The sequence below is a fragment of the Homo sapiens genome, chromosome 5, assembly GCF_000001405.40.
Source record: "Homo sapiens chromosome 5, GRCh38.p14 Primary Assembly".
NCBI classification, from domain to species: Eukaryota; Metazoa; Chordata; class Mammalia; order Primates; family Hominidae; genus Homo; species Homo sapiens.
In genome coordinates, this window is record NC_000005.10 from 36,586,344 (window position 1) to 36,610,966 (window position 24,623).

The 24,623-nt window shown below is 40.4% G+C and overlaps 1 protein-coding gene and 1 pseudogene across 14 annotated transcripts in view, besides 2 other annotated features; both read left to right on the forward strand.

Moving 5' to 3' along the window:
• RPL39P22 (ribosomal protein L39 pseudogene 22) lies at positions 2,126-2,512 on the forward strand (annotated as a pseudogene).
• Positions 4,021-4,806: an enhancer, noted in NCBI's record as "NANOG hESC enhancer chr5:36590466-36591251 (GRCh37/hg19 assembly coordinates)". NCBI's record gives its function as "activates a minimal SCP1, AML or CMV promoter by ChIP-STARR-seq in naive H9 embryonic stem cells {active_cell/tissue: H9 hESC(naive)}" and the evidence as "EXISTENCE:reporter gene assay evidence [ECO:0000049][PMID:30033119]".
• Positions 10,245-24,623, forward strand: part of SLC1A3 (solute carrier family 1 member 3) — a 91,747-nt gene continuing 77,368 nt past the window's right edge. For 8 of the 14 annotated variants that reach the window (NM_001438460.1, NM_001438461.1, NM_001438462.1 and 5 more), the window contains exons 1-2: positions 20,263-20,392; positions 21,986-22,261. Coding sequence is in view for 11 of the 14 variants with exons in the window: in NM_001438458.1 (NP_001425387.1) it covers positions 22,081-22,261 (181 nt within the window). In the remaining 3 variants the exon portion in view is untranslated. Of the gene's footprint in view, positions 10,336-20,262; positions 20,393-20,610; positions 20,672-20,829; positions 20,969-21,985; positions 22,957-24,623 lie in introns of those variants that run through there. The other 6 variants (NM_001438454.1, NM_001438459.1, NM_001438456.1 and 3 more) reach the window with 5 other exon arrangements.
• Positions 20,370-20,469: an enhancer, noted in NCBI's record as "active region_22479". NCBI's record gives its function as "activates an Ori minimal core promoter by ATAC-STARR-seq in GM12878 lymphoblastoid cells {active_cell/tissue: GM12878}" and the evidence as "EXISTENCE:reporter gene assay evidence [ECO:0000049][PMID:35858748]".

Sequence of the window (24,623 nt, forward strand, 5' to 3'; positions counted from 1 at the left end):
GCTATACAATGACTATTACGCACTAACTGAAAAATCGCATTTTGTTAATACAATGAATTCATGCATGACATAAAAATATTAATATTAGCTAACAATTAATGTTTACCATATGCCAGGTGCAAGCTAAGAATTTTACATGTCATCTTATTTAGTCCTGACAGCAAGTTGTGAAGAAGGTACTATTATTACCTCCATTTTGCAGAAGAGGATACTGAGGTTTAGAGAGGTTAAGTAATTTGCCCAAGCTAAAACAACAAGTAAGGACAGAGTTAGAAACTTCAGAAAAATGTCTTTATTATAAAGTTATGTTTTAAAAATCTGATGTACAACTTTCTGTATTATATTATTCCAACTATCTAGTTATTTTATTCAAAGAAAATATCATCAATGTAGTTGTTCCTGGCTAGTAGAAATACGTACAGCTTTTGTTTTCTATAATGTGCAATATTTTTCAAATGTTCTATAATGAATAAATATTTCTCTTACTTTATTTATTTGTTTTGTTTATTTAATTCACAGCGAAAGCTTTTTAAAAAAGTAATGTCTCCTGGGGAAATGGCAGCTACATCATCAGAATTTGAAAAAGAGGAAAAGAGGGGATACCTTAGAAAAAGTCCATAGGAAAATGAGAGAAGTTGAGCCATCTGGCTGCTGGCACCCTACTCCCTCCTCCTCCAAGCCTCTTCCCCTTCACCAGTAAGAACATTCCCAACTCAGGACCCAGAGTAGCAAGACAGGAGCTGCTTGTCTTGCAGTACCAACCATCGGTGAGATATAGATATATGGTTCAGATTTTGCCTCTCAGATCCACTTGTGCCAAACTCAAGAGCCAATGACCCAATATAAAGGAATCGCGATGTCTTTTTTCTCCCACTTGAACATTTCCCAAATTTCAAATTAGTGAAAGTTGCTGAAAATTGGGTCCCCCACATAGAAATGATGGCCATACTAGTAATGAACAGTTAGTGAGAGCCAACATTCCCCAGTCTTCACACTGAACAATCTCTCTGTGGCACTGGAACCTGCTTATGTTTGTCTACGTTCATTTGTTCAACAAACTTTCATTGATCACACAGTATATGACTTTTTCCCAAGCATTGACAATACAGAGGTTAAAAAAATACAGACCAGCCCCCTGTCCTCACAGAATGTGTCTATAAACTCTTAGCATTCCTCCCCTCAAGCCCTGGAATATGGCCTGGCCTTGGTGACTTGTTACTCCTTAATAAAATGCAGCAGAAGTGTCACCATGTCACTTGGTAGTAAACAGCAATGAAACTTCTCCTTAGCTTTCTCTGCAGTGCTCTTGGAACCCAGCCACTATGCTGCAAAGAAACGCAGACCACAGGCAGAAGCCTCATATAAGAGTTCTGGCTGAGGGTCTCGACTGAGGGCTCAGTTGATGGCCACTATCAACTACCAGATACATGAATGAAGAAGGTTTTGAGATGATTCCAACTCCAGCCCTCATCTGGCAAGTAAATGAGAGACCCTGAGTGAAACCTGCCAACCTGAGCAAAGGCAATCTTTCAAACTGTGAGAGGTAATAATAATAAATAATGTTTATTTGTTTTACACCACAAAGTTTGAGATTTTTTTTTAGGCAGCAATAGATGAGTTTACGGTGTAGCAGGGGAAAGCAGACATTAAATAATTATCCAAAAAAAGAAATTACATTATAAGAGTACCGTGAGATTCTTCCCTTTCCTGGCTCACAAACCAGAACTGCATCCCAGTTCGTCGCTATGCCCTCCCAGCTTCTCTCTCCTTGTTAATGGCATCTCTGTCCTGACAAAAACTAAAACTGCAGAATTTGTGTCATTCTGCACTATTTTTTTCAGACTCATACCTAATTGGTAATCATATCCTGCTGATTCTACTTCCAGAGGTACCTCCCATCTGGCTCTTTCTTTCCAATCCTACCACCACCTGGGACCACACTGGGCCCTGAGAATCTCATCCCTGGCTTATTGGAATGCCCTCTCCAGTCAGTCTCACAGCCTCCATTCTCTTCCTTGTCAATCCATTCTATTCTCTGCTTTCAGACATATGTTCCTATACCAGGTCATCCCCAATTTTTCCCTCCCCTGCTCACAAAACTTTACTATCTCTTCTCACTTCCCGCCCTCTTCCTTTCTCCACCATAATGTTGTGTGCTTGACTTAGCTTCTCACAAGACTTTTGGGATTAAGTGATTCCCGGCCAAGAAACAAAAGCAAAATCGTCCTATTCCCCAGTGGATTCGGATGAAAATTGGTAATAAAATCAGGCACAACTCCAAAAGGAGACATTGGAGAAGAACCAAGTTGGGTCTATAGTGTGCCACATGAGATGGCACACATATTTATGCTGTCTGAAGGTCACAATCATGTTATCATATCAAACTGAAAATGTCACCACTATCTGGAGAGCTGGACATGTTTTATTGGGAAGATATTTTTCCTCTCTGTACCTGTTACAAACCCACTGGTTGATTGAGTTGAGTAATAAATATGTGAGACCTTCTGTTTAAAAAAAAAACCAAAACTTTACTATCTCTTCATGGCCTAACAAATGCAGGCCAAATGCCTTAGACCTTTCCTGGTCTGCGGTTCACCTCTGATCTGGCTTTATTTTCCATACAGTTCTGCTACTGCCTGCTACACTCCGATAATCTGGACTTCTCCACACACTCTGAATGCCTCTTCTCTTTGATGCCTCTGAGCTCTCTATCCCCCCATCTGGATGTTTTCTTCCTTCCCCATGTGTCCAGGAGTCTACCTCCTATGACTTTCAAGGCTCTTATAGCAGCGATTGTCATCAGTCCTAAGGCCAGCTAATAATGATAGCTGTGACTGAGATGGCTTATGACCGAACATCTTGCACAATGGAAGTTAGGAGTTTTAACTGAGCGTGCGGTCAGCTAGAGACTACAGTTCCCACCCTTCTAATGCAACTTGGCACAATCAGGTGACTAAGTTCTGGAACATGGAATGTAATCAGAAGTGAAATGAGCCACTTCTGGGTGATGTCCTTAAAAAGATGAAGCATGTCTTCACCTGGCCTTTTACCTTTCTTGCTTGCTGGGATGTGGTAAGAGCCAGAGCAACCATCTTGGTCTTAGAGCTGGAAGCCATGTTAAAATGTGGAGGCCCCCTTATAGCCACAGAATTCCTACCTCTGGACAGAGAGAAGAATAAACCTCTATTATGCTCTGCTACTGGAATTTGGAGTCTTTTTGCTATAGTAGCTTAGTCCATACCCCAACTAATATAATAGTTAATCGTTATATTGACATTTTTATTATGTGGCAGATACTCTTCATCATGTTATTTAATTTTCATAAATGTCATTGTGAAGAAGATAATATTGAAGATGAAGAAATTGAAGCTCAGAAAAGCTTTGCAACTTGCCCAAGGCCACACAGCTAGCAGGTAATCAAGTTAGAACTCAAACCTAGGCCAGATGATTTCAGAAACTATACTCTTAATCACTATTTATCCCTTTGCTCTGTTCCACAGCCTTAAAGGCATAGATAGATCTCATTCAGGCTTGCCAAGTGTCCCCAAAAGCACCTAGGAAAAAATTCTTGTATATAGTAGATGCTCAATAAATGTTTGTTGAATGAATGATTGATCTTAGGAAAACTTTGTGAAAGTTTCTAACTAAAATAATGTGATACACAGCTGGGCATAGTGGCTCACGCTTGTAATCCCAGCACTTTGGGAGGCCGAGGTGGGTGGATCACCTGAGGTCGGGAGTTCGAGACCAGCCTAACCAACATAGAGAAACCCCATCTCTACTAAAAATACAAAACATTAGCCAGGCGTGGTGCCACATGCCTGTAATCCCAGCTACTCAGGAGGCTGAGGCAGGAGAATCGCTTGAACCCTGGAGTCAGAGGTTGCAGTGAGCCAAGATCATGCCATTGTACTCCAACCTGGGCAACAAGAGTGAAACTCCGTCTCAAAATAATAATAATAATAATAATAATGTGATACAGTTAACTGTTTCCGGTGACCAGTAGGCCGCATCCCTATTTTATAGAGACCACTATTCCGGGTGCTTAATACCAACAAATCTCTTCCCAGAGAATACCATGTATTGGAGCACTTTTTGCCCATATCATTATTCATCTTACAATCAACAGGGAGTCTATGTGAATTATTGGGAAAAAACGTTTAGCCTGTTTCAGTCATCTACATTTATTTACACAGCTGTTCTTCCCCTTGTTCAAGCAGAAGACCGTGGTTCAGAAATCAGAGATGGAAATAAAATTAGGGGCTTTTTGAAGACTGCTGTGTGGTATCCTGCATCCTGGGCTCTCAGCAGGGATGTGGGGTCCAGGGACTTTCAAAGTCTTTCTTTGTGCTATGTTAAGGGTCCTGGTAGAAAGTGAATAGTGCTGAGAGCTTGGGGCTGTGGGAGAGGTTATTATAAAGTACCGGCATCCTACTGTGAGGGCTGAATGTGTTCCCTCCTTCAGGGCTCTTATCTGGAGTGCTTCGACAGAAAGGGAATAGAACAGAACGTCTGAACTGTTCTAGGGTTGTCTTCAGCCCTCCTCTGGGAAAACTTTTAGCAAGAAACACAAATCAAGGGGAAGCTAAAGAATGATTTTTAAAAAGGGTCTTCAAACAGTAACAGCCAGGCTTTGTTTTTTTCAATTAAGGGGACAAAAAGAAGAAATCACAGCCAATTCTCTTTCCAATTAAGTCTCATGGACCTCCCAAAATAAAACACAGATGCTGTGACGAACACTAACACGCTCTTCAGTGAAGTGCGCTTGAACTCAGTGACACTTAGAGAATGATTTTTGAAACTAAAAATTTAAAACAAAAACAAAACAGAGAGAGAGAGAGAGAGACCATAAAAGCTTATTATAATCATGGCTTGCACTAACTCTATGGGAGGTTATGCAGTAAAGCTGAATTCTTTTTCATCAGTACATTCAAAATAAATTCATTCTTCTCTTTCACTTCCAATACAGATATACATTTAAGATGATTCTTCCTCCTATGTGTACCTACCATACTGATATTAACATATCAGTTTAAAACTAAGCATTATTTCATGTTAGAACATATGTTTGGTAAGAATGCCCATGCCCTAGAATTTCATGAAGTCATGTGTCCCAGGAAGAAGTTACATGGGTAGGAGGGCTAAGATGATCCTACTACCTAGAGGACATTTAGATTAGGAAGAGCTAGACAAACATTGAAGAGACTTGCTTGACCCACTGCTGTTCAGTTTTAATGAGGCCAAATCTCATGGAACAGGGGCAGAATGGGCGGAGAGTGGGTCATCAGCCCTGGCTAATTCTAGTTTCAATTCAGCAAATCAGAATCACGGTTCGCGGCAGCAATCCCATGGATGCCATCGAGTGTAACCGCCCAACGGTTTCACCTTGCCCGCTGCCTAGACAGAGCCGATTCATCCAGACAGGGGAATTGCAAGAGAAAGAGTAATTCGCGCAGAGTCGGCTGTACAGGAGACTGGAGTTGTATTATTACTCAAATCAGTCCACCTGAGCATTCGAGGATCAGAGTTTTTAAGGATAATTTGGTGGGTCGGGGAAAGCCAGTTAGCCAGGAGTGCTGATTGGTCACGGATGAAATCGTAGGGAGTCGAAGCTGGTCATTTCCTGGGTGGGGGCCACTAGATGAGATGAGCTAGTTTATCGATCTGGGTGGTGCCAGCTGATCCATCAAGTGCAGAGTCTGCAAAATTTTTGAATTTTGAACCATGTGAATATGTTAACTATTCAAAAGATAAATAAAATGGAAATTATTTAAAAATATGAATTATTCACTCTCCTGATGGTAGTAATGGTTTCACAGGTATATAGCTATGTCAAAACTTATCAAATTGTACACTTTAAATATGTATAATATTATATCACAGTAAAGCTACTAAAAATATGATATATGACAAATTTATTCACTATCCAATAAATACTATTAGGATATTTGGCTGCCATTTTAGAAAGTGAAATAGAAAAGTTAGATGCTTACATTACAGCAGACACAAAAACATATTCCAATTGGATTAAAGTGCTACATGAAAAACAAAACAAGCTGGGCACAGTGGCAGGCACATGTAGTCTCAGTTATTCAGGAGGCTGAGATGGGAGAATCATTTGAGCCCAGGAGTTCCAGGCCAGCCTGAGCAAAAGAGCAAGACCCCATTTCTAAACAAAATAAACAAATAAAATAAAAAGGAAAACAAAACAAAGCAAAAGCCCTATAAAAATTTTGAAAGAAAATATTGGAGAGTTACAATGTACGTTTATTACTTTTGAGTGGGGAAGGCCTTTCCAAGAAATACACAAAGCCTAGAAGCCATGGAGAAAAAGTAATAATAGCAGACTTCACCACCCAAAATGTAAAGCCTCTGACAAGAAAGACACCATGAATGAAGTTAATGTCATTGAACAAGGCATCAAGATATCCAGTAGAGGCCGGGCACGGTGGCTCATGCCTGTAATCCCAGCACTTCGGGAGGATGAGGTGGGTGGATTGCTTGAGACCAGGAGTTCAAGACCAGCCTGGGCAACATGATGAAACCCTGTTTAAAAAAAAAAAAAAAAAAAATATATATATATATATATATATATATATACATATATATAAACTCCAGTAGAATATATATCCAGTAGAATATATATCCAGTGGAATATATCTTTAGAGATAGCACGGTCCTCCACTATTCTGCACCACAGGCCCCTATCACAGTCTACTGAAGCACCTTCTCAGATGACATCTGGAGATATCTGAAACAATTGTAAGGTGATATGAAAATATCTGTGATTTCTATGGGTGACAAAGTCCGAGTACTGCTAAAACTCATGTAATTTTCTGCCTACATCCATTAGTTGAAGGAATTGCTGAATTTCAACTAAAGGTTAATGAAAATAACCTAAATATTTTTCCCATTCAAGTTCACAGACCCCTGGAGCCTATCCACAGAACCTTTGTAGGGTGTCTCCAACCCCATGGGCAGTGTTCCAGGGAAAGATCTTGGCATAACCTCAAAAGACAAAGAAATGCAAAGGGTAAAATGTGAAAGTCCAATCAAGCAGTATAGCCCCCCTGGGGTTGCTTAAATTACGTGCCCTCAAGCCTTCAAATTCATAACAGAGAGAAAGAAAAGAACACCTTCCTTCATATGGCAGCATGGAGGTGAGAAGCAGTGCCGTGTGTGCCCAGCTTCATATGTCACACCCAGCCAAAATCTCTAGGCAATGGGCAACATGACTAGCTGAAAACAGAATTCCAAAAAATTCCCCTAGGAAAGCATCTGAAAATTGTTTGGATGACATAATTATTTTCTTAGCAGGTATGTATCTATAATCCTAGGGAGATTTAGAATTAAATGCAGAGGTGAAATAAATAAAAGACATAGTATTCTTTGCTTATGCCGAATTAGGGGAGACTCTGAGACTATTTGATGTTTTCAGTTCTTGTAATTTTAAGATAATTTGGCATGTTAGATAGGACTTCTGCTTTTTCCTCCCTTATCTCATTATCTTCCTTCCAATTCCTCGATATATTCTCCACCTCTAGACATTGGAGAGCCCAGGGCCTTTATCTGTTCTCTAGCTACACTCACACCCCATAGGAACACTATCTATAGCGGATAAAACCAAATCTAGTCTCAAACCAGACCTCTCCCATGAATTCATTCTCTCATATCTAACAGTCTATTCAACATCTCCCCTCGATTGTCTCAAATTTTGACTTCCTGCCCTGACCACACCCCACAAGTCTGTTCTCAGACTTCCCCAAATCAGTAAATTACAACTACATTCCTACAGCTACTCAGGCCAAAAACCTTGGTTTTAGAGTCATTAAATCTTACATAAAAATTTGGCTAACAAAATGAGGCAGAATAATAGAATAGAAATTGGATTAGGTATAATACCAGCTTTTGTAATCGTGTTTGTTGTACTAGCATGTATAATGTTAAATAAAACAACTTCGGCCATTTAATTTTTAGTTATTCCACCCCATTTTGGTTTTGAATCTTCTCCTCCATCTTCATTCATTGTCACGCTCCCTTGGCATGATTACACAGAGTTTTAAATTCTGTGTGTGCCACAGGTCCCAAATATAGAGCTCCAGCTTCACCTCTCTCGAGAATGCTGTTGCCACCTAGAGATTTCCACTGGAGATCTACGAGCATTCAGAGCTCTTCATTCCCCTGCACCTAACTTGAACCTTCAGTCCTCCACCTCATTTTAGTCTATTTACCTCGTTGCTCAAGCCTAAAACTTCAGCTTTATCTTTCACAGCTCTCTTTTCTTATTTTGTCCAATTTTTCATCAAATCCTGACAATTCTTCTTCCAAACCATATCCCTAAGTTGTAGCACTTCTCCCCACATTTATGGTTAGTCACCTTAATCCAAGCCACCAACAACTCTCACTGGGCCTTTTCCAATGGCCTCCCAGGTAGTCTCTCACCCTGCTAACCATTTTCCACAAAGCAGCCAGTTAGCCTTTTAAAAAAAAAAAGCCATTTCATTCTTCTTCATGATGTCCTACAGTGGCTTCCTATTTCACTCCGAGTGAGATCCAAAGTCGTTTCCTAAAGCAGTATGCATTTATTTGTTTGGGGTCTGTCTCCCTCCACTAGAATGTAAGTTCCATGAGGGTCAAGACATCTTCTCCTTTGTTCACTGCTTTAACCACAGCACCTTAAACAGTGCCAGGCAGAGTGGGGATCAAGAAATACTTGTAGCACAAAAAGAGAATAAACTGCTGAATGTGGAGTGAAGGCTGGGAGTATAAAGCAGTGGAGGAAGGAGGGCAACACTAACATTTTAGTCTATATTTTGTACACTTTTGCAAAGAGATGTTTTGAAGACCTCAGTCTTCAAAAATCTAAAAGGAAAAGAAAATTTATTTAAACTTGTTAACAAGTCCAAGCTCTATATAATGACTGAAAGGGCAATAGAATAAGATAGCAAAATCTGTGGGTCCAATGTGGGTAGAGCTGAGGAATCTGGAAATGTTAAATCAACTTTAAGAGGAAGAGGCCGGGCGCGGTGGCTCACACCTGTAATCCCAGCACTTTGGGAGGCCGAGGCGGGCAGATCACCGGATGTTGGGTGTTTGAAGACCAGCCTGACCAACATGGTGAAACCCTTCCCTACTAAAAATACAAAATTAGCCGGGTGTGGTGGTGTGCGCCTGTAATCCCAGCTACTTGGGAGACTGAGGCAGGAGAATCTCTTGAACCCAGGAGACAGAGGTTGCAGTGAGCCGAGATCATGCCATTGCACTCCAGCCTGGGCAACAAGAGTGAAACTTGGTCTCAAAAAAAAAGAGGAAGACCAGGGCTCCGTGTGGCGGCTCTTGCCTGTAAGCTCAGCACTTCGGGAGGCCAAGGTGGGAGAATCACTTGAGTCCAGGAGTTCGAGACCAGCCTGGGCAACAAGCAAGACCCCCATCTCTACAAAAATAAACAAATAAAAAATTAAAAAATAAGAGGAAGAACAGATAGAAGCCATGCTCTAGTCTGTATCGACTTTGTAATGAGGTTCAAATCCCAGTTTTGGCCGGACACTGTATCCCTGAAGAACATCTGTGCCCTTGCCCACTCCTATTTGTTCTTTTCCATTTTCTCATCCTCACAACATCGATTTCAACTCATACAGCCCAATGGGCATTTTAAAATGTCCAGGCAGCTCCTTTTGAGTTAAGATACACCTGAAGGAAGGGTTTTCTTCCATAAAGCCCCAACATCTCCAAATAAAGATTGCAATCTCATCAAAAAGACCCAAGAGAATACTTCAAAATGGACAACCAGCAACCAATGAATTCTGCCTAGCTAGAAGCTCCAGACTTTGAGGACTCGTGGATTTGTGATGATTTTTTTCTGTCTGTGATGAGGAATTGGGAAGACCAGACATTCATGGTGGGTAAAGGAAATGCCAGAGAGGAAGCTCCAGGATTACCAGTAAGTGCCTCTTGAAAAGGGCCAGTTTTGGAAAGGTAGGATTTGCTAGTGCCTGGCTATGGTAATGGGTTTGCAGGAAATGACTGATGCAAAGCAGGGTTAACCTGAAGTAAATTTACCCCTCAGCAGGCCTCCTTTCCTTAACTCCGCCCCCACATATTTTAATCAAGAGGCAAACCCCCAGGCTGGGATTAGACAGGGACTACATTTTAATCACTAAACTTCTTCATAACAATAGGCCTCACTTAATGGTCCTAACTTCCTGGAAGATTTTGAAAGCAGAACTAGGGGGAAAAAAATCTCTGAATCCTTTGGGATTTAATGGAGTAAAGGTGCAAGTCCAAGTAGCTCTCTAGAAAGGGGAGACTCCAGCTACCCTGTGCAGGGCTTGAGGGGTGAGTTCCATCTTAAATATTACATTTGAAAAACAGCAAACATCTAAAAAGAGTTTCCCTAATAAAATTATTCACTCTCTTCTACATCTGGTGAAAGGTGCTTCTTCTAGTCTTGTCTCTCTGCCTTGTGAATGTTAGCAATTGTGACGATTTGGTGAATCTATTGCCCTTTAAGACAGGTCTTCCTCTAATGGAAGAGAAGAAAAACCAGGGTTTTAATCAGAGCACGGATGGGGGCCTGTTTCTGCTGATAGATATCTTGGAATACGGAAGAATGTTGCCGCCTGGGGGTTGCTCCCGTGGTATCTGTGTCACATTTGGATGTTTGGGTTTTTTGGTTTGTTTGGTTGGTTGTTTTGTTTTGTTTTGCTTTGCTTTGTTTTTGGCTCATGGAGATTGGGTAATTCTTGGAAGGTCTTCAGGCTGATTTTGCTGTGGTTGGTGTTACTGCTCGTTCTGCCAGGTACTAGAAAAAAGACTAGCATTCTCCAAAGTGCATTAATATAAACCTATTTTTGATTTTGAAAGTCACACCGAAAACTTCTTCTTCCTTTCTTTTTTTTTTTTTTTTTTTTTTTTTTTTTTTGAGACGGAGTCTTGCTCTGTCGCCCAGGCTAGAGTGCAGTGGTGCGATCTCGGCTCACTGCAAGCTCCGCCTCCCGGGTTCACGCCATTCTCCTGCCTCAGCCTCCCCAGCAGCTGGGACAGGGGCACGCCGCCACGCCCGGCTAGTTTTTGTATTTTTAGTAGAGACGGGGTTTCACCATATTAGCCAGGACGGTCTCGATCTCCTGACCTCGTGATCTGCCAGCCTCGGCCTCCCAAAGTGCTGGGATTACAGGCGTGAGCCACCGCGCCCGGCCCAAAAACTTCTCTTCAACCCAAGAAATGCTGTCACTGCCTTGTCAAGAAAGCAAGGGATACATCTTGTTTCAGCTTTGTTCCCACTCCTCAACTTGTCCTGACTTGGAACTCTCTCCTCAGTCTTTTTTCTGACCTCTTGCCGTGGGTAAACAGCAATCTGGGCCCCCTTGCTGGTCCCCTCACAGGACTTGTCTTGCTCCCGCCATTTCTTCCGCCTGGCACGCCTCTCCCTAGCTACTCCTAACTGCAGAAAAACCTTCCTCATCTTTAGAGTTCTTTCTGAAATGCTGCCTCTTCCATGAAACCCTCCCTTTTCCCCCACAACTGGAATGAATTCATGTCTGTCCTGTCCGCTGAGGGATTTTATGTTTTCATCTCTCTCATGAGGTCTTCCTCTGACACGTATTTCATTGCTCATGTTTTCCCTACCATAATGTAAGATCCTCGAGGACTGCCACGATTTTGCCCCACCTTCTGTATCCCACCTTCCCTCCAGTGCCTTCAAACATAGTGGGAATCTGTAGAATTCTGAGAGTAGTATTTTCATCCGGACTGTTAGTCCCAGCAGAGCAGAATTGTGTAGCGCTTAAGTTCCCAGGCTTTAAGTGCAAGCGGACTAGGGTAGAATCTTGGTCCAACCACTTAACCAGCTCCTGACCTTGGCAGTTGCTAATTCTCTGAGAATCTCAATTCCTTCATTGGGAAAGTGGGAATAATAAAACTTAGTAACAGTGGGATTGTTGTGACAAGTAAATGAGGCAAATATAAAACACTTGGCATGGTGCCTGACACATAAGTCTTTTCAAAAAGACTTAATAAGTGGTGGCTCTTTTATTATTATTACTATTACCATTAGCCATAAACTTCTGTGCAGAAACCAAAATATTCTTACCACATGTTAATCTATTTAAATAAATTAAGAGTGATTGCTCTGGAGAGAGGAATTCATGAGCCCTACCAATTCTATCTTTTTCCAAAGACTCTTCTATAAAGAGCAATCACTTTCTAACAGTGCTGACCAATAGAAATATAATGTGTTATATACATATTTAGAATTTTCTACTAGTTACATTAAAATAAGCAAAAATAAGCAAGTGAAATTAATTTTTTTCTTTGTCACCCTGGCTGGAGTGTAGTGGCACGAACACAGCTCTCTGCAGCCTTGACCTCCCGGGCTCAAGTGATCTTCCCATCTCAGGCTTCCAAGTAGTTGGGACTATAGGTGTCCGCCATCATGCCCAGCTAATTTTTGTATTTTTTATAGAGACTGGGACTGGGTTTTGCCTTGTTGCCCTGGCTGATCTCAAACTCCTGCACTCAAGCAGTCCGCCAACCTTGGCCTTCCAAAGTGCTGGGATTACAAGAGTGAGCCATGGTGCCCAACCAAAATTAATTTCAATATATATTATTTAACTCAATATATCCAAAATATTACCATTACAACATGAAGTCAATATAAGTATTAATGAGATATTTTACATTTTGGGGGTACTAAGTTTTCAAAATCTAATGTATACATAACACATAAAACAGCGCATCTCAAATCCTACTAACTCTATTCAAGTGCTCAATGGTTACATGTGGCTAGTGATTACCATATTGGGCAGCACAGATCTATAACACAGAATTTGAAAACCTCTCCCTCATAAATGAATACTATCATTCCCGGCTTTCACAGAATGTAGTTGGTACTACAAGACAATGTGTTTCTCTGAAAATGGTTAGGACTGGGAGTGCCAACTCTAGACTCTGGTCTGGACTCTGCCATTTACTTGGATAACTTTGGGTAAACCATTAAATTTGGCAGTTTTATTTCCCGCATTTGTCCTGGGGCTTAGCTAGGTCACAAGGCACAAAAAATAGGACTGCTCTCTTCAACTCAGTCTGTCTCATTGCCACCTACGTCCCTAGGAATAGGCCTAAGACCTGAGACAGAAACCCCTACACATCGTAGCTACGGTTGAACTTTTTTTTTTTTTTTTTTTGAGACGGAGTCTCACTCTGTCACCCAGGCTGGAGTGCAATGGTGCTATTTTGGCTCACTGCAAGCTCCGCCTCCAGGGTTCAAGCGATTCTCCTGCCTCAGCCTCCTGAGTAGCTGGGACTACAGGTGTGCGCCACCACGCCTGCTAATTTTTGTATTTTTAGTAGAGACGGAGTTCGCCATGTTGGTCAGGCTGGTCTCGTACTCCTGACCTTGTGATCCACCCGCTTAGGCCTCTCAAAGTGCTGCTGTGGTTGAACTTTTAAAACAAGCCATGTTTTGAAGAAGATTTATTTATTTATTTATTTGAGACGGAGTTTCGCTCTCGTCACCCAGGCTGGATGGAGTGCAGTGGCGCTATCTAGGCTCACCGCAACCTCCGACTCCTGGGTTGAAGCAATTCTCCTGCTTCAGCCTCCCGAGTAGCTAGGATTACAGGCATGCACCACTATTTATTAATTGAGGTATCATGAATACTGTGGAGTTCTTGGAGTTTAACTCATGCTTTTCGTTTTTCCCCCAGAGGTTATTCCAGTTTATGGGAATTTCATTCTTAGAATTTGAGTACTTTGAGTTACCCAATCCAGTCATTTCCAAATCTTGCCCCAACAACTTGGAATACACTCAGGGTCCAGATGCTGGTGGTTGGGGTTAGGGAAGAGAGAGGAGGAGGGGAAGCTAGAGGAAGGGTGAATCAGTGGCTCTGCCTCCCGACTCTTCAGGTTTAGAGCTGATGTGTCATGTTGCTTGTTTCATCATGAGATTTGATTGGAACAAAGGGTTAAAAAAAATTGAAACCCAGACCTCACCTCACTCTTCAGTTTGGAGGAGAGGACCTCCTACAATACTGTATTTGCCCAACCTTGCACCACTCAGGTCTCCTGACCCCCAGTCTCCATGCATTTTTCTCTAATGTCACATGACCTATCCTGATTTCACCTGTTGATTATTAAGCGATTTTGAAAAATCTACTGCATGTCAGCAAACAACTGAGGCCTGGGGTACGAGTCAACTAGTCATCCTGCGTTAATTCTATTTCAAGCAAGTGTGATCCATCCTTCCTGGGGAGGCAGTGGGATGAGGAAGGAGGCTTGCATTTGCTTCTTCTATGACTCAAAAATGAACTGCCTCATAAGGCAATGGGAATTCCCTGCCTGGCCAAGGAAAAGGGGATTGTTAAGCATTCTGAAGGCTTTCTTCCCTGGTCTTTCAGCTTAGAATCAATCCATAGGCACGACATTCACAGAAGATAGAATTTGACTCAGGAGCACAGCCCAAATCTTGAATGTATGTTTTAACGCTTAAACTAACTTTATTCTAACCTTACCCCCAGATTACTATGATTGCATCCAATGTCCAAAAGTTATTTCAGCCACTAAGGTTGATTTGTGCTCAAGGCCCAGTTTCCACCGTTCACCCTGTTTTCTCAACCCAAAACTGCATTTTCTGTTGCTTTAAAAATTTGCATATTTTCTCAGTGCCTGTTTCTGACTTACAATAAACAATACCCAGACCTCCTGCCAAAAAAATGTCCAAATGCGAAATAGTTGCTATAATAGTCGTTTCTGTGATGGCAACTTTGAGCTGTGTGCTTTTAAATTATAATTACTTTTTTCCTTACAAAAGATGTGTATCTGTCTTGATTGCTGTAATTATGATTCTATACCAGCAAACAGTTATAAAAGATTCATGTCATCACTGTGCTTCATAAAACCCATGCCCCTCAATAAGCTTCCTTTGGTACTGTATTATGTTTGTGTTTAATTTGTGGCAGGGAAATCCTAATGAGAAGCCATTAATCACTGAGTGTATATAAAAATTTGTGTCCTTAACTAAACAGACCAAAGTGGATATGGCAAGCCCGTTATTGGCATGACATGATTTAGAATCAGGAAAGCGATTTGAGAAAAACAATCTAGTCTAACCTAGTTTTACGGATGACATTCAGAACTGGGAAAGGAGAGCATGTGGCTTAGTGACTGCACACATAATGGGACCAGGAGCCCAGAGATCCAGGTTTGAAACCTGAACTTGGCACTAAGGAATTATGGCACAAACTGACTTGACTTCCTCATTCATCCTCGCTTCCCAACTGTGATGTGTAGAATCCACACATTAAGGAGGTGCCTCACCCAGGGAGCTACCTGGGGGCAAGAAAAGGGGGACACTGAGGTAGGCTCTGAATCCCACCCACCCCCCATTCAATTAGAGCAGCCACACTTGGATTTATTTTACATTGTAATGATTGAAGAAGGAACTCATTGGCTTTTTTTTTTCCTTTTAAGTTTGATGTTTACTGACTTCCTTTCTCCAAGTCTTAGAATTGGAAATGGACTGATGAACCCTCTTGTGTTTGTGACTGTGTTGCATCTGTTTATTGGTGCAGCAACTCTTTTCTGAGCACCTTCCGTTCTGGTTCCTAAGTATGCAGTAGTTATCCATACAGGCCCTGCCCTCAAAGACCCTGCAGTCTAGACAGGGAGAATTGCAGCACAAAGTGGTAATGACTCTGGAGATTTAAACCCAGGGGGCCTTGGGAGCACATAGGAAAGGCAACCAAGCCCGTTGGATTTGGGGAGTGGGAGGAGATTAGAGTTGACTCCCCAGAAGAAATAACAGATTGTAGGCCTTCCTTTTAATGTTCTTTCCTTTCTTTTCTATCTGTCTTTAAAAAAACTCCTGGGGGCTTCTTTTGGGAAAAGATGAGAAATCAACATGAAGAACTCTTGTCTTAGCGCTGACTATGATCCCCAGCATATTACTCAATCCCTACTGATCTCCAACATCTGGGTCTACAGGACCAGTAATAATAGAGTAGAATAGACCTCAAAGTATTATCACGAAGATTAAATTAGATAATGTGTGTAGAAGTACTTAAAAAACTATAAAGCCCTGTAAACATGTCTGCTGAAGGCTTCAATTCCAATCAACCTACATAATCTTTTCCAGCTAAACGGATATTCTTGGTTCTACAAAGTCTTGACTCATGTTGAGCAACTGGGGAAAATGTCACTTTTCAATATAAATAATAATTGATAACAATAACATGTGTGAAGCCTTCATTAAAAAGCAGACCCTCTTTAGCTTTAGAATGGAGAAAACATGTTGTTTTTTAAGGCATCATTATGTCCACCTGTTGGATCACTTGTGAGAAAAATAACAGTTGGTGTAATTTCTTGCCACGTGGGAATCTATTTGGGGGGGTTCCTCTTGCTGGTCTTCACCTTTGTGTTGGTGTTCCCTAGGCTTCTGCCCTTGCTCAGTCCTCTTCTGAAACCCCATCAGAGGTCAAAACAGAAGAACTTGCTAGAGCCACATGCTGATAACTAACTTGAGTGAAGTGAGCAGGACAAGTGGGCTGGAGAGTGCACACTCCACCTACAGGAGGCAGCCTTGGCTCAGTGTCAGCCGACCCCTTCAAGGGCCTTGATATTCTCAAATGGTCAGTATTTTTCAGTGTGAATGTGAACTCACCTAGTTTGTAAATGCTCCTCCTGCCCCTTGACTTCCTAACCCAAGTCTTAGTCACTTCAAGGCTTTGCATTTTACCTAAAACGAAAATTACTTCCCTGCTTAAATCCTGTGGCTGGCTCCCCATTGACTAGGAGTGGAGTTCAAGTTGTAAATTCGGCCCCTACTGGCCTGTTCTCCAGCAGGAACCACTACTGGCTCCCTGCCATGCCACACGATGGCTGCTATGGGCAGGCACCTGCTAGAAACAGTGTACACAATGTGGATCCAGGCACAGCCCCTTCTCTTAAGTTGCTACCAGTCTTTTTGACATACTAACTGGTAAATAGGCCTCAGCACACAGCGATCTCATAACCTTCTGTTGGGCCCTGTCCTGGCCCACTGCTTAATAATTACGATGCGTTTATGGACTCCTTGAGGAAAGAAACTGGTATTTGGAACACAGTGGTTGCTCAATGTTTGTTGAAAGAATAAATGAATGTGATAAAGTTAATTTTAGTTCACCTCTCTGTAGTTGGATGTTTTTAGGTTTCATATGACTATAACTTTAAAATAAAACCTAGTTATTTAAAAATTCAACTAACCAGACTTCACCACAGGTTTTTTTGTTGTTCTGCTTTTTACATTCATATTTAAGAAGAAAAAAAAATCAAAACAAAATGGAAGACAACTACCACAAGTTCTTCTACACCTACTGCCTCTAACACATCCACTGTTACACTCTGGGGTTAAGTCAGGTCCTGTTCATTGTCTTAGCATTCTACAATTTCCAAATTCTAGGAGGAGAATTGACATTCATGATGATCCTAAAATGCAAGCTATTTAAACAAGGAATGATTTTAAAACCATCATTAAATTAAAAATCAACTTGGAAAATATTGAAAAAAGATTAAAAGGTTTTCTAATCCATTTTGTTGCTCAAAAAAAAATCCAATTAACCAAAATTTCCTAATTTTGAATGGTGAAGTTTGACTGGCCTGTACCATGCTAAGATCAGCACGTGCTTATTACCGTAATCTCTTGTTCTTCAAACCAATAAATGCTCCCTTTAAGGACAGGTTGGATTTGGTTATTTCTTGTTATACTGACATTTTTTCCCAAAGAAAGAATTTACTGATAACATACTTCATCACACAATGTTCACAGAAAGATCTTGACAGATTTTTTCAGCAGGAACAGCATTTGCTGCTGGTGTTTGTGTTTTTTTCATTTGATAATACTAACATTAATATGATCCCCCAGCTTCTGTGTCTCCCACCCTGAGTAGCTTTAAATGAAATACAGCATACAGAGACTTGTTCATAATTTCTTGATCTTTCATTTATTTAGTGTTTCTAGAAGGAAAAAAAAAGATGTTTTAAAGCTCAAGGGACTTAACTATAAAGTAGAGGGGAAAAGGTAGAAATACGCGTTGAGGAAACCCAGGAGGCCCCCAGGCATGACTTTTGCTATAGCTTTCCAGAAAGAGAAAGTGGTGCTTAAAGAAGTAATTCCCAATGTTTCCCTCCAGACTAAAATTGGATGAACTCTGAACTGAGACTCTTTGCATCTCATTTTCTCATTAGGTTTTATTACAGCCAACAAAACTTTCAGTGGTGAATTACTTCCCTTCTCAACAGAATACCAGACTCCCATAATGTCTACACAAACTGAAATAATGAAATGGTTTTTAACCAAGCTTTAGGGATTAGAGAGGAAAAAAAAAGTGAAAAAGAAAGGGCACCAGGGTCTTCCCATCTCTATGCTAACCAAAGTGTGGTTTTCCAGCCCTTTTTCTTGCCTATTAACAAAAATAAAAACAAAAAATGGAAATGCCACTGGGCTTGAAACCCCATTTAAAATCAGATTTCTCTTTCGAGTTCCCTTGCAATACAAGTCAAAGTCATTTCCACCAAAAAAAAAAAGCGGTGGGGGGGGGGGGTGTGCAAATTAATCCTAAACTCATGGCTCAGATAGGACCTGGTATAGTAAATAAATGCTTTTAAAAGTAGTCATGGCATTGAGAAATGGCTCCATGCACCTAAACCAGAGGCACCAATGTAAAAACTAGTAATTGTGTTTTAACACAAAAGATTGAAAAGCGTTTTGTTTCACATCCTAATATTATTCCACCCACTTAAAAAGAGTTACTTAATATTGACTCTGTATTAGGTATAAGACAAGTTCTTGCCCTCAAAGAACTTATAATTTAGTTGAGAAACCAAAACTTAACATGAGCTTAAAAAGAAGGATGCAGTACAAAACATGGTATAATTAAGTGCTAAACAATGTAGTATAGATGCTCAGTGACCTAGGAGATCAGAGGAAGGGAAGGGTCACTGAGGGCTGGGAATGTCAAAAGCATGTACTTTCAGTAAGTTCTTAAAATGATAGCATGTTAGAAAGCTGTTATAATTGCTGCTGATTTGTAATTTTAAAGCATTGACATGATTCACCATTGCTTTCCAACCAGTAGCTGTTTAAAAGGACATACAGTTGAGGGTGAAAGGAGATATTTCTTTATGATCTCCAGAGATTTGTATTGAGGGGAAAAAAGACATACTTTCTTGTTGAATAATAGACCAAGAATTGAGCATATTTTGCATGGGGAATATTAAATTCAGTGAACAAGAATCCAAACCTCAGGCTGTGATTCTGGTATAAATTTTTGTTTCTAATGAACCATTTTCTTCCTTCTAAAGAAGATTTAAGTTTTGGGAATAAGTCACCTCAAAAAAATTTTTTTTTATTTTCTAATATCTATTTTCACAATTTATTTTTCTTTTAAGAAAAGTGGACTAGAAGCTCAAGTTACCTTCTCAAGGCAATGAGAATTTTTTAGCTCTAAAAAAGTTGTGTGTGGTAGGGAGAACATTTAGCATCCTTTAAAATGGAGACATCTGAACAGCAACCTATCTTTTGAATCACCAAATCTCAAGTGTACTTTGCACTCTTGGTCTTAAAATGCTTTTCATTTTCTAGTTTGGCAAAAATTCCAGTCTCTTTACATTTGCTACCTTTTCCGTCTTTGCAACACAGGCAGTGTGAGCTAAATTAGGTTTGTTAAAATGAAGTTTTGAAGTTTCAACTGCTGAAATAGAGGCATGTCCCTAACTTTAGACAAATTTAGAGAATCGTAGTAAGCATTATTTTTTTTCTACATACTTGTCTGCATTCAGTGTCTTCCCAAGAAACGTCAGTTAATTCCCCGATTCGAAAAAGGAACTTTCTCGTAACAGTTGTACAACCAGGCTAAAGAGCACACCCTCGTCTTCCCTGAAAGGGAGGAAACATGCAATAATGTGAGGTAATTAAATTTAGCCTTAGAAAAGTCTTTGAAACGTTCTAATCAAGACTTTCAGCTTTCCGATTGTGTGCGCTTTATTTTTCAATTCTTCCTAGTCCCGGTTTTGCATTTCTAATGACAGTGAACTGACAAAGCGTGAAAGTGGTCTAAGGAGCAAAACAAAGCCAGCAAGCCTGCTTCTGGTGTGCCAAGATTAATCAATATTCCAGAAACCTCGGGGTTTCCCCCTCCTCCCTGTGCGGTTTCCATTCCCCACTCCTCCTTTCCCGGGCACAGACTCCTCCCCTTTTCTTAAGTTGCCCTGATAGTAACTTGCAGTTTCAGAGCACATGCACACTGTCAGGGCTAGCCTGCCTGCTTACGCGCGCTGCGGATTGTTGCTCCGTTGTACCTGCTGGGGAATTCACCTCGTTACTGCTTGATATCTTCCACCCCTTACAAAATCAGAAAAGGTAAGTGTCACATTCTGTGTTCCTGCTGGGTTTAATTTCTCCTTTCACTTCTCTGCCGATGTATTTTGCCTTCCAAGCAGAGGAGTAGCCTGAATCAAGGCTAGCCATTTTGGTAGATAAAGTCCTTGTTAGTCATCTCACGTCGTGAGAGTGTGGTGTCTGTTTATGCCGGGTCCGCTGTTAATTCGGAGTTGAGTCATTCGGGGTGGATTGGGGGCAGATTGTGGCGCGAGATCTAGAAAAGGATCAAGGTTGAGCGGATCTGCTTAAAAGTGACTGGTAAGAGGAATCAGAGCTATTAGTTTAAAAAAAAAAAAAATCTGGTCTCTCCTATTTCCCGGTCTTCACTTCTCCCTAAGCATTTAATCCAGTGTGAAGTCTTAAACAAATTAGAAGTCTTAGTATCACTGACCCCAACTTGCAATTTTATTTAAAAGGCAAACTGTTAAGACAAGTCTTTTTTTTTCCTGCACTGGGATTGCGAGAAGTCATTTGCGAGGAGTCCTTTGGTTTCCAGTTACCTCCCCCACAGGCGCACACGCTGGCTGCTTGCGTTGGCAGCGACACACATCCATGGTACGGCTGGTTTTCACTCGGATTGATTATGGGAAGGGCTATGGATTAGAGCTCCTGTAAAGCACCAGGAGGAATCCCTTGATTTTTCAGAACAGCTGATTTCCACCAGGAAAGAGATTTACTGAAATGTAGTTAAATAGCGTGAGTGCTTTAAAGAAACCAGAAACCACAAGCTGTAATGTTTGGAATGAAAATTGGTTTCATCTCATCTGTTCTAGAAATCCTAAATTTTAAAACGCTAAAAAGTCAGCGATAGTTTCCTCGGAAGATTCCAGCATGTGTGTCACAAAGAAAAACACTACTTCATACTTCTACTTGTGATAAACGAAGCTGAATTGTGATTTCAGATGATTTATAGATGTGCCCAGAGCACTTTGCTTATTTCATGGAAAAAAAATGAAAAAATTACCCTGTAAAATAGTCACATGTATTTCCCATGTACTGTGGGCACTTGTGTTCTTTTTATGACCATATTTACTAGTAGATATTATTATATTTTTTTCTTAATGAAGAAAATAGCTGGTTACTTTACTGCATGTAACAGAGACAACTCCCACCTATCAGTATCTTAATTATTTTTATTGACCTGGTTATGCTTTCAACCATGTATACAGCATAATTTGTCAAGTAATGATTGAATACTTTCTGTGCATTCAGTTCAATTGGACATTTACTGATTGTGTACGTTGTGCAAGGCATCAGCTGGGTTCTGCGGGGGAGGGTGGGAATAGGGGTTCTCAGTCAGATCTAGCTCTGAAGAACCCTTTTATAGCCTCATTGGAAGGGGAAGGACGGATTTTTAAAAAGAAAATAGAATATATTCCGAATTTATGCACATTTCTCACACGTGGTCCACTAAAATATGCACACTGCAACCTTGAGGTCTGGTATTGTGGCTCTCCAGTCCTTGATTCCTGCTGAGATTATGCAATTTGCCAAGAGCTTGCCTGGTGTGGAGCAGCACTGATTTCTCACCCCTGGAGGCTATAACTCATGTCTCTTTTTCTCCCATTCTAGTTGTGTTTTCTAATACCAAAGAGGAGGTTTGGCTTTCTGTGGGTGATTCCCAGACACTGAAGTGCAAAGAAGAGACCCTCCTAGAAAAGTAAAATATGACTAAAAGCAATGGAGAAGAGCCCAAGATGGGGGGCAGGATGGAGAGATTCCAGCAGGGAGTCCGTAAACGCACACTTTTGGCCAAGAAGAAAGTGCAGAACATTACAAAGGAGGATGTTAAAAGTTACCTGTTTCGGAATGCTTTTGTGCTGCTCACAGTCACCGCTGTCATTGTGGGTGAGTCATTTGATTAAAAACAAAAAAACCTGTATCTTGTTTCTCTGGGGCATCTGGCTGCCCGGGGAATATTATCAGATGAACTAGTTGTAGGTATCAAAATGGTAGCCTAGGCTTTCCTCTGAACTTGATGATTTTTCTCCATAAAAATGACTGTTTTGGCTTGTTTGGAGCAATATATAGTAAACACATCATTAGGCATCATTAGGCATTATGCAAATCAATTGTGTGAGGAAGAAAAATAAATAAAATATTTTCCCATTTCATGTAAGGATAAGGAAGTGATCATTTAATCATTAGGCATGACAAAGCAAGCATGCTAGATTTGGCCAAAATGTAATTATATACAATGTCAGTTGCACTTAAAACTAATTTATACAATTAGTACACCTAAAATGACATGTTGGTTCCAAATAGTAATTATATTCTAACTGGTGCTGACTTGAAGCTGAGTATCAACGCTTAGGCACAGAGACCGAATATTTTATGTGTTTGCACTCTCTCACCCAGCAACTGGGAAAGGTAGATTGGGGAAAATGTTAACACAGATCTCTTTCATTCATTGCTTTGCAGAGCCTGCCATAACCAGCTATACCTTTTTTTGAATCATTTCCATCTCTTACTAATTTAGCAGGGTTGACAGCAATCTGTACTAATAAAATATTATTGTTTTGTTTTGTTTATTGATCTTAAAAGTTATAGTTTATTACTTATGGGTGGCATTGATCCTACTTTAAAATATAGCTGAAAAAACCTACTTATTTGGAATTTTTGACCAAACCAATACAGAAATCCTTAGATTGACAAACATATACGCCAATGCCAGGTTGTAAAAATATTCCAACTTAACCTACCAATTTGCCACCAAAAAAGAGGCATTCAGTACCGTTTTAATCTCTACTTTGGAGTTTGCCAAGATTTCCATCAACTTTAAAGAGGTAATGATTTAATAAAGATTAAGAAAATTCTGTAGTGTGTAAATATAACTTTTTTCAAGAAAATTGAATTCTTAAATTGTAGACAAATGAAGTATAGCAGGAGAGTTTGTCACAAGATTTTAGATACATCCCATTTTAACATCATTGTCTTCCATTAGTAATCACTGGTGATTAATGATGGTTCAATTAATTTAGAGATATTCAAAGAGAACATGTCCTAACTGACCCAGAGAAGTAATGGCTTTCCACAGTAGGTTTCCAGGCTTGAATATATTCCTGGGTGAAATATTTCAGTCCCACATCATTGTCCTGGAAGTCAATGCAAAATACAGTCTGCTTGCCTCATTTGTCACTCTGAATCAAAGTCATTGCCAAGCCAAGCAATAGCTGCATAATAATAATTGCAAACATTTATATAGTACTATTCCAGCTACTCTGTAGGAGTTTTGTTTATATTAGCTCACTTAATCCTCAAACAAGCCTATGAAGCGAGTGAGAAGGTATGATTACTATGATCTTCCTCATTTTGTAGATGAAACTGACTGTGGAGAGATCAAGCAATTTGCCCAAAGTGACAACACTAGTAAACTCTAGAGCTGGAAGTCAAATTCAGTCTAGCACCGGAGGCCATTCTCTTAACCACTCTATTCTTCCTCTGCTCTGCTGCTAGTTGACATCTTTTAAGAGATGCCAGGAAGAGAAATACCCTCATGAGTTGATGAAGGCCAGTTAGCTAGCAGTGCATTCACACAGCATTGTCATTTAACTGCATGATTTACCCGGTTACCTCAAAAGAAAACTTACAGTTCTCCTATAGACCATTAAGCCACTTCCTTCTCATTCATTTAACACATACTCATTTATAATTCATGATCCTATACGTATAATAAATAGAGCTCAGTAATACTGGAGTATATTTGAAAAAGATGGAGAAACACCATTCAAAATGGTGTTGTAAACACCAGAAGAGTGGAATTTCTAAGACAGAAATGTTTCCATTCAAGAATACAGGAATGGAAATTCATAAAACTTGAACATGGAAGACAGATTGATGGAGAAGGAAGTTCCTAAGTCATTAGTACAAAGCAATAACATCTCTAATAAAAAGAAGATAATGCCAGGATTTAAAAGTCTGTTTTTCTCTAGGAGTTCTGGGATCATCCCTAGTCTATTTTTCTCTAGGAGTTCTGGGATCATTCCTCACCCAGTGAGGGCTTTCCTAAGATTTGTGAGAATTGCAATAAGAGTTGGCTGAGCTAGGGTAGATAAGTTGGCCGGGTGCCCTCATGGTTGGCTTTACTAATGGAAACTGAGGAGGCAGAAGCAGCAAGAAGAAGGCACTAACAAAGAAACACATAAAAAGAGCTCATTGACAGTCAAAGAGACCACTGAGTCTACATCAAAGACTTGGAATAGCAAATAGA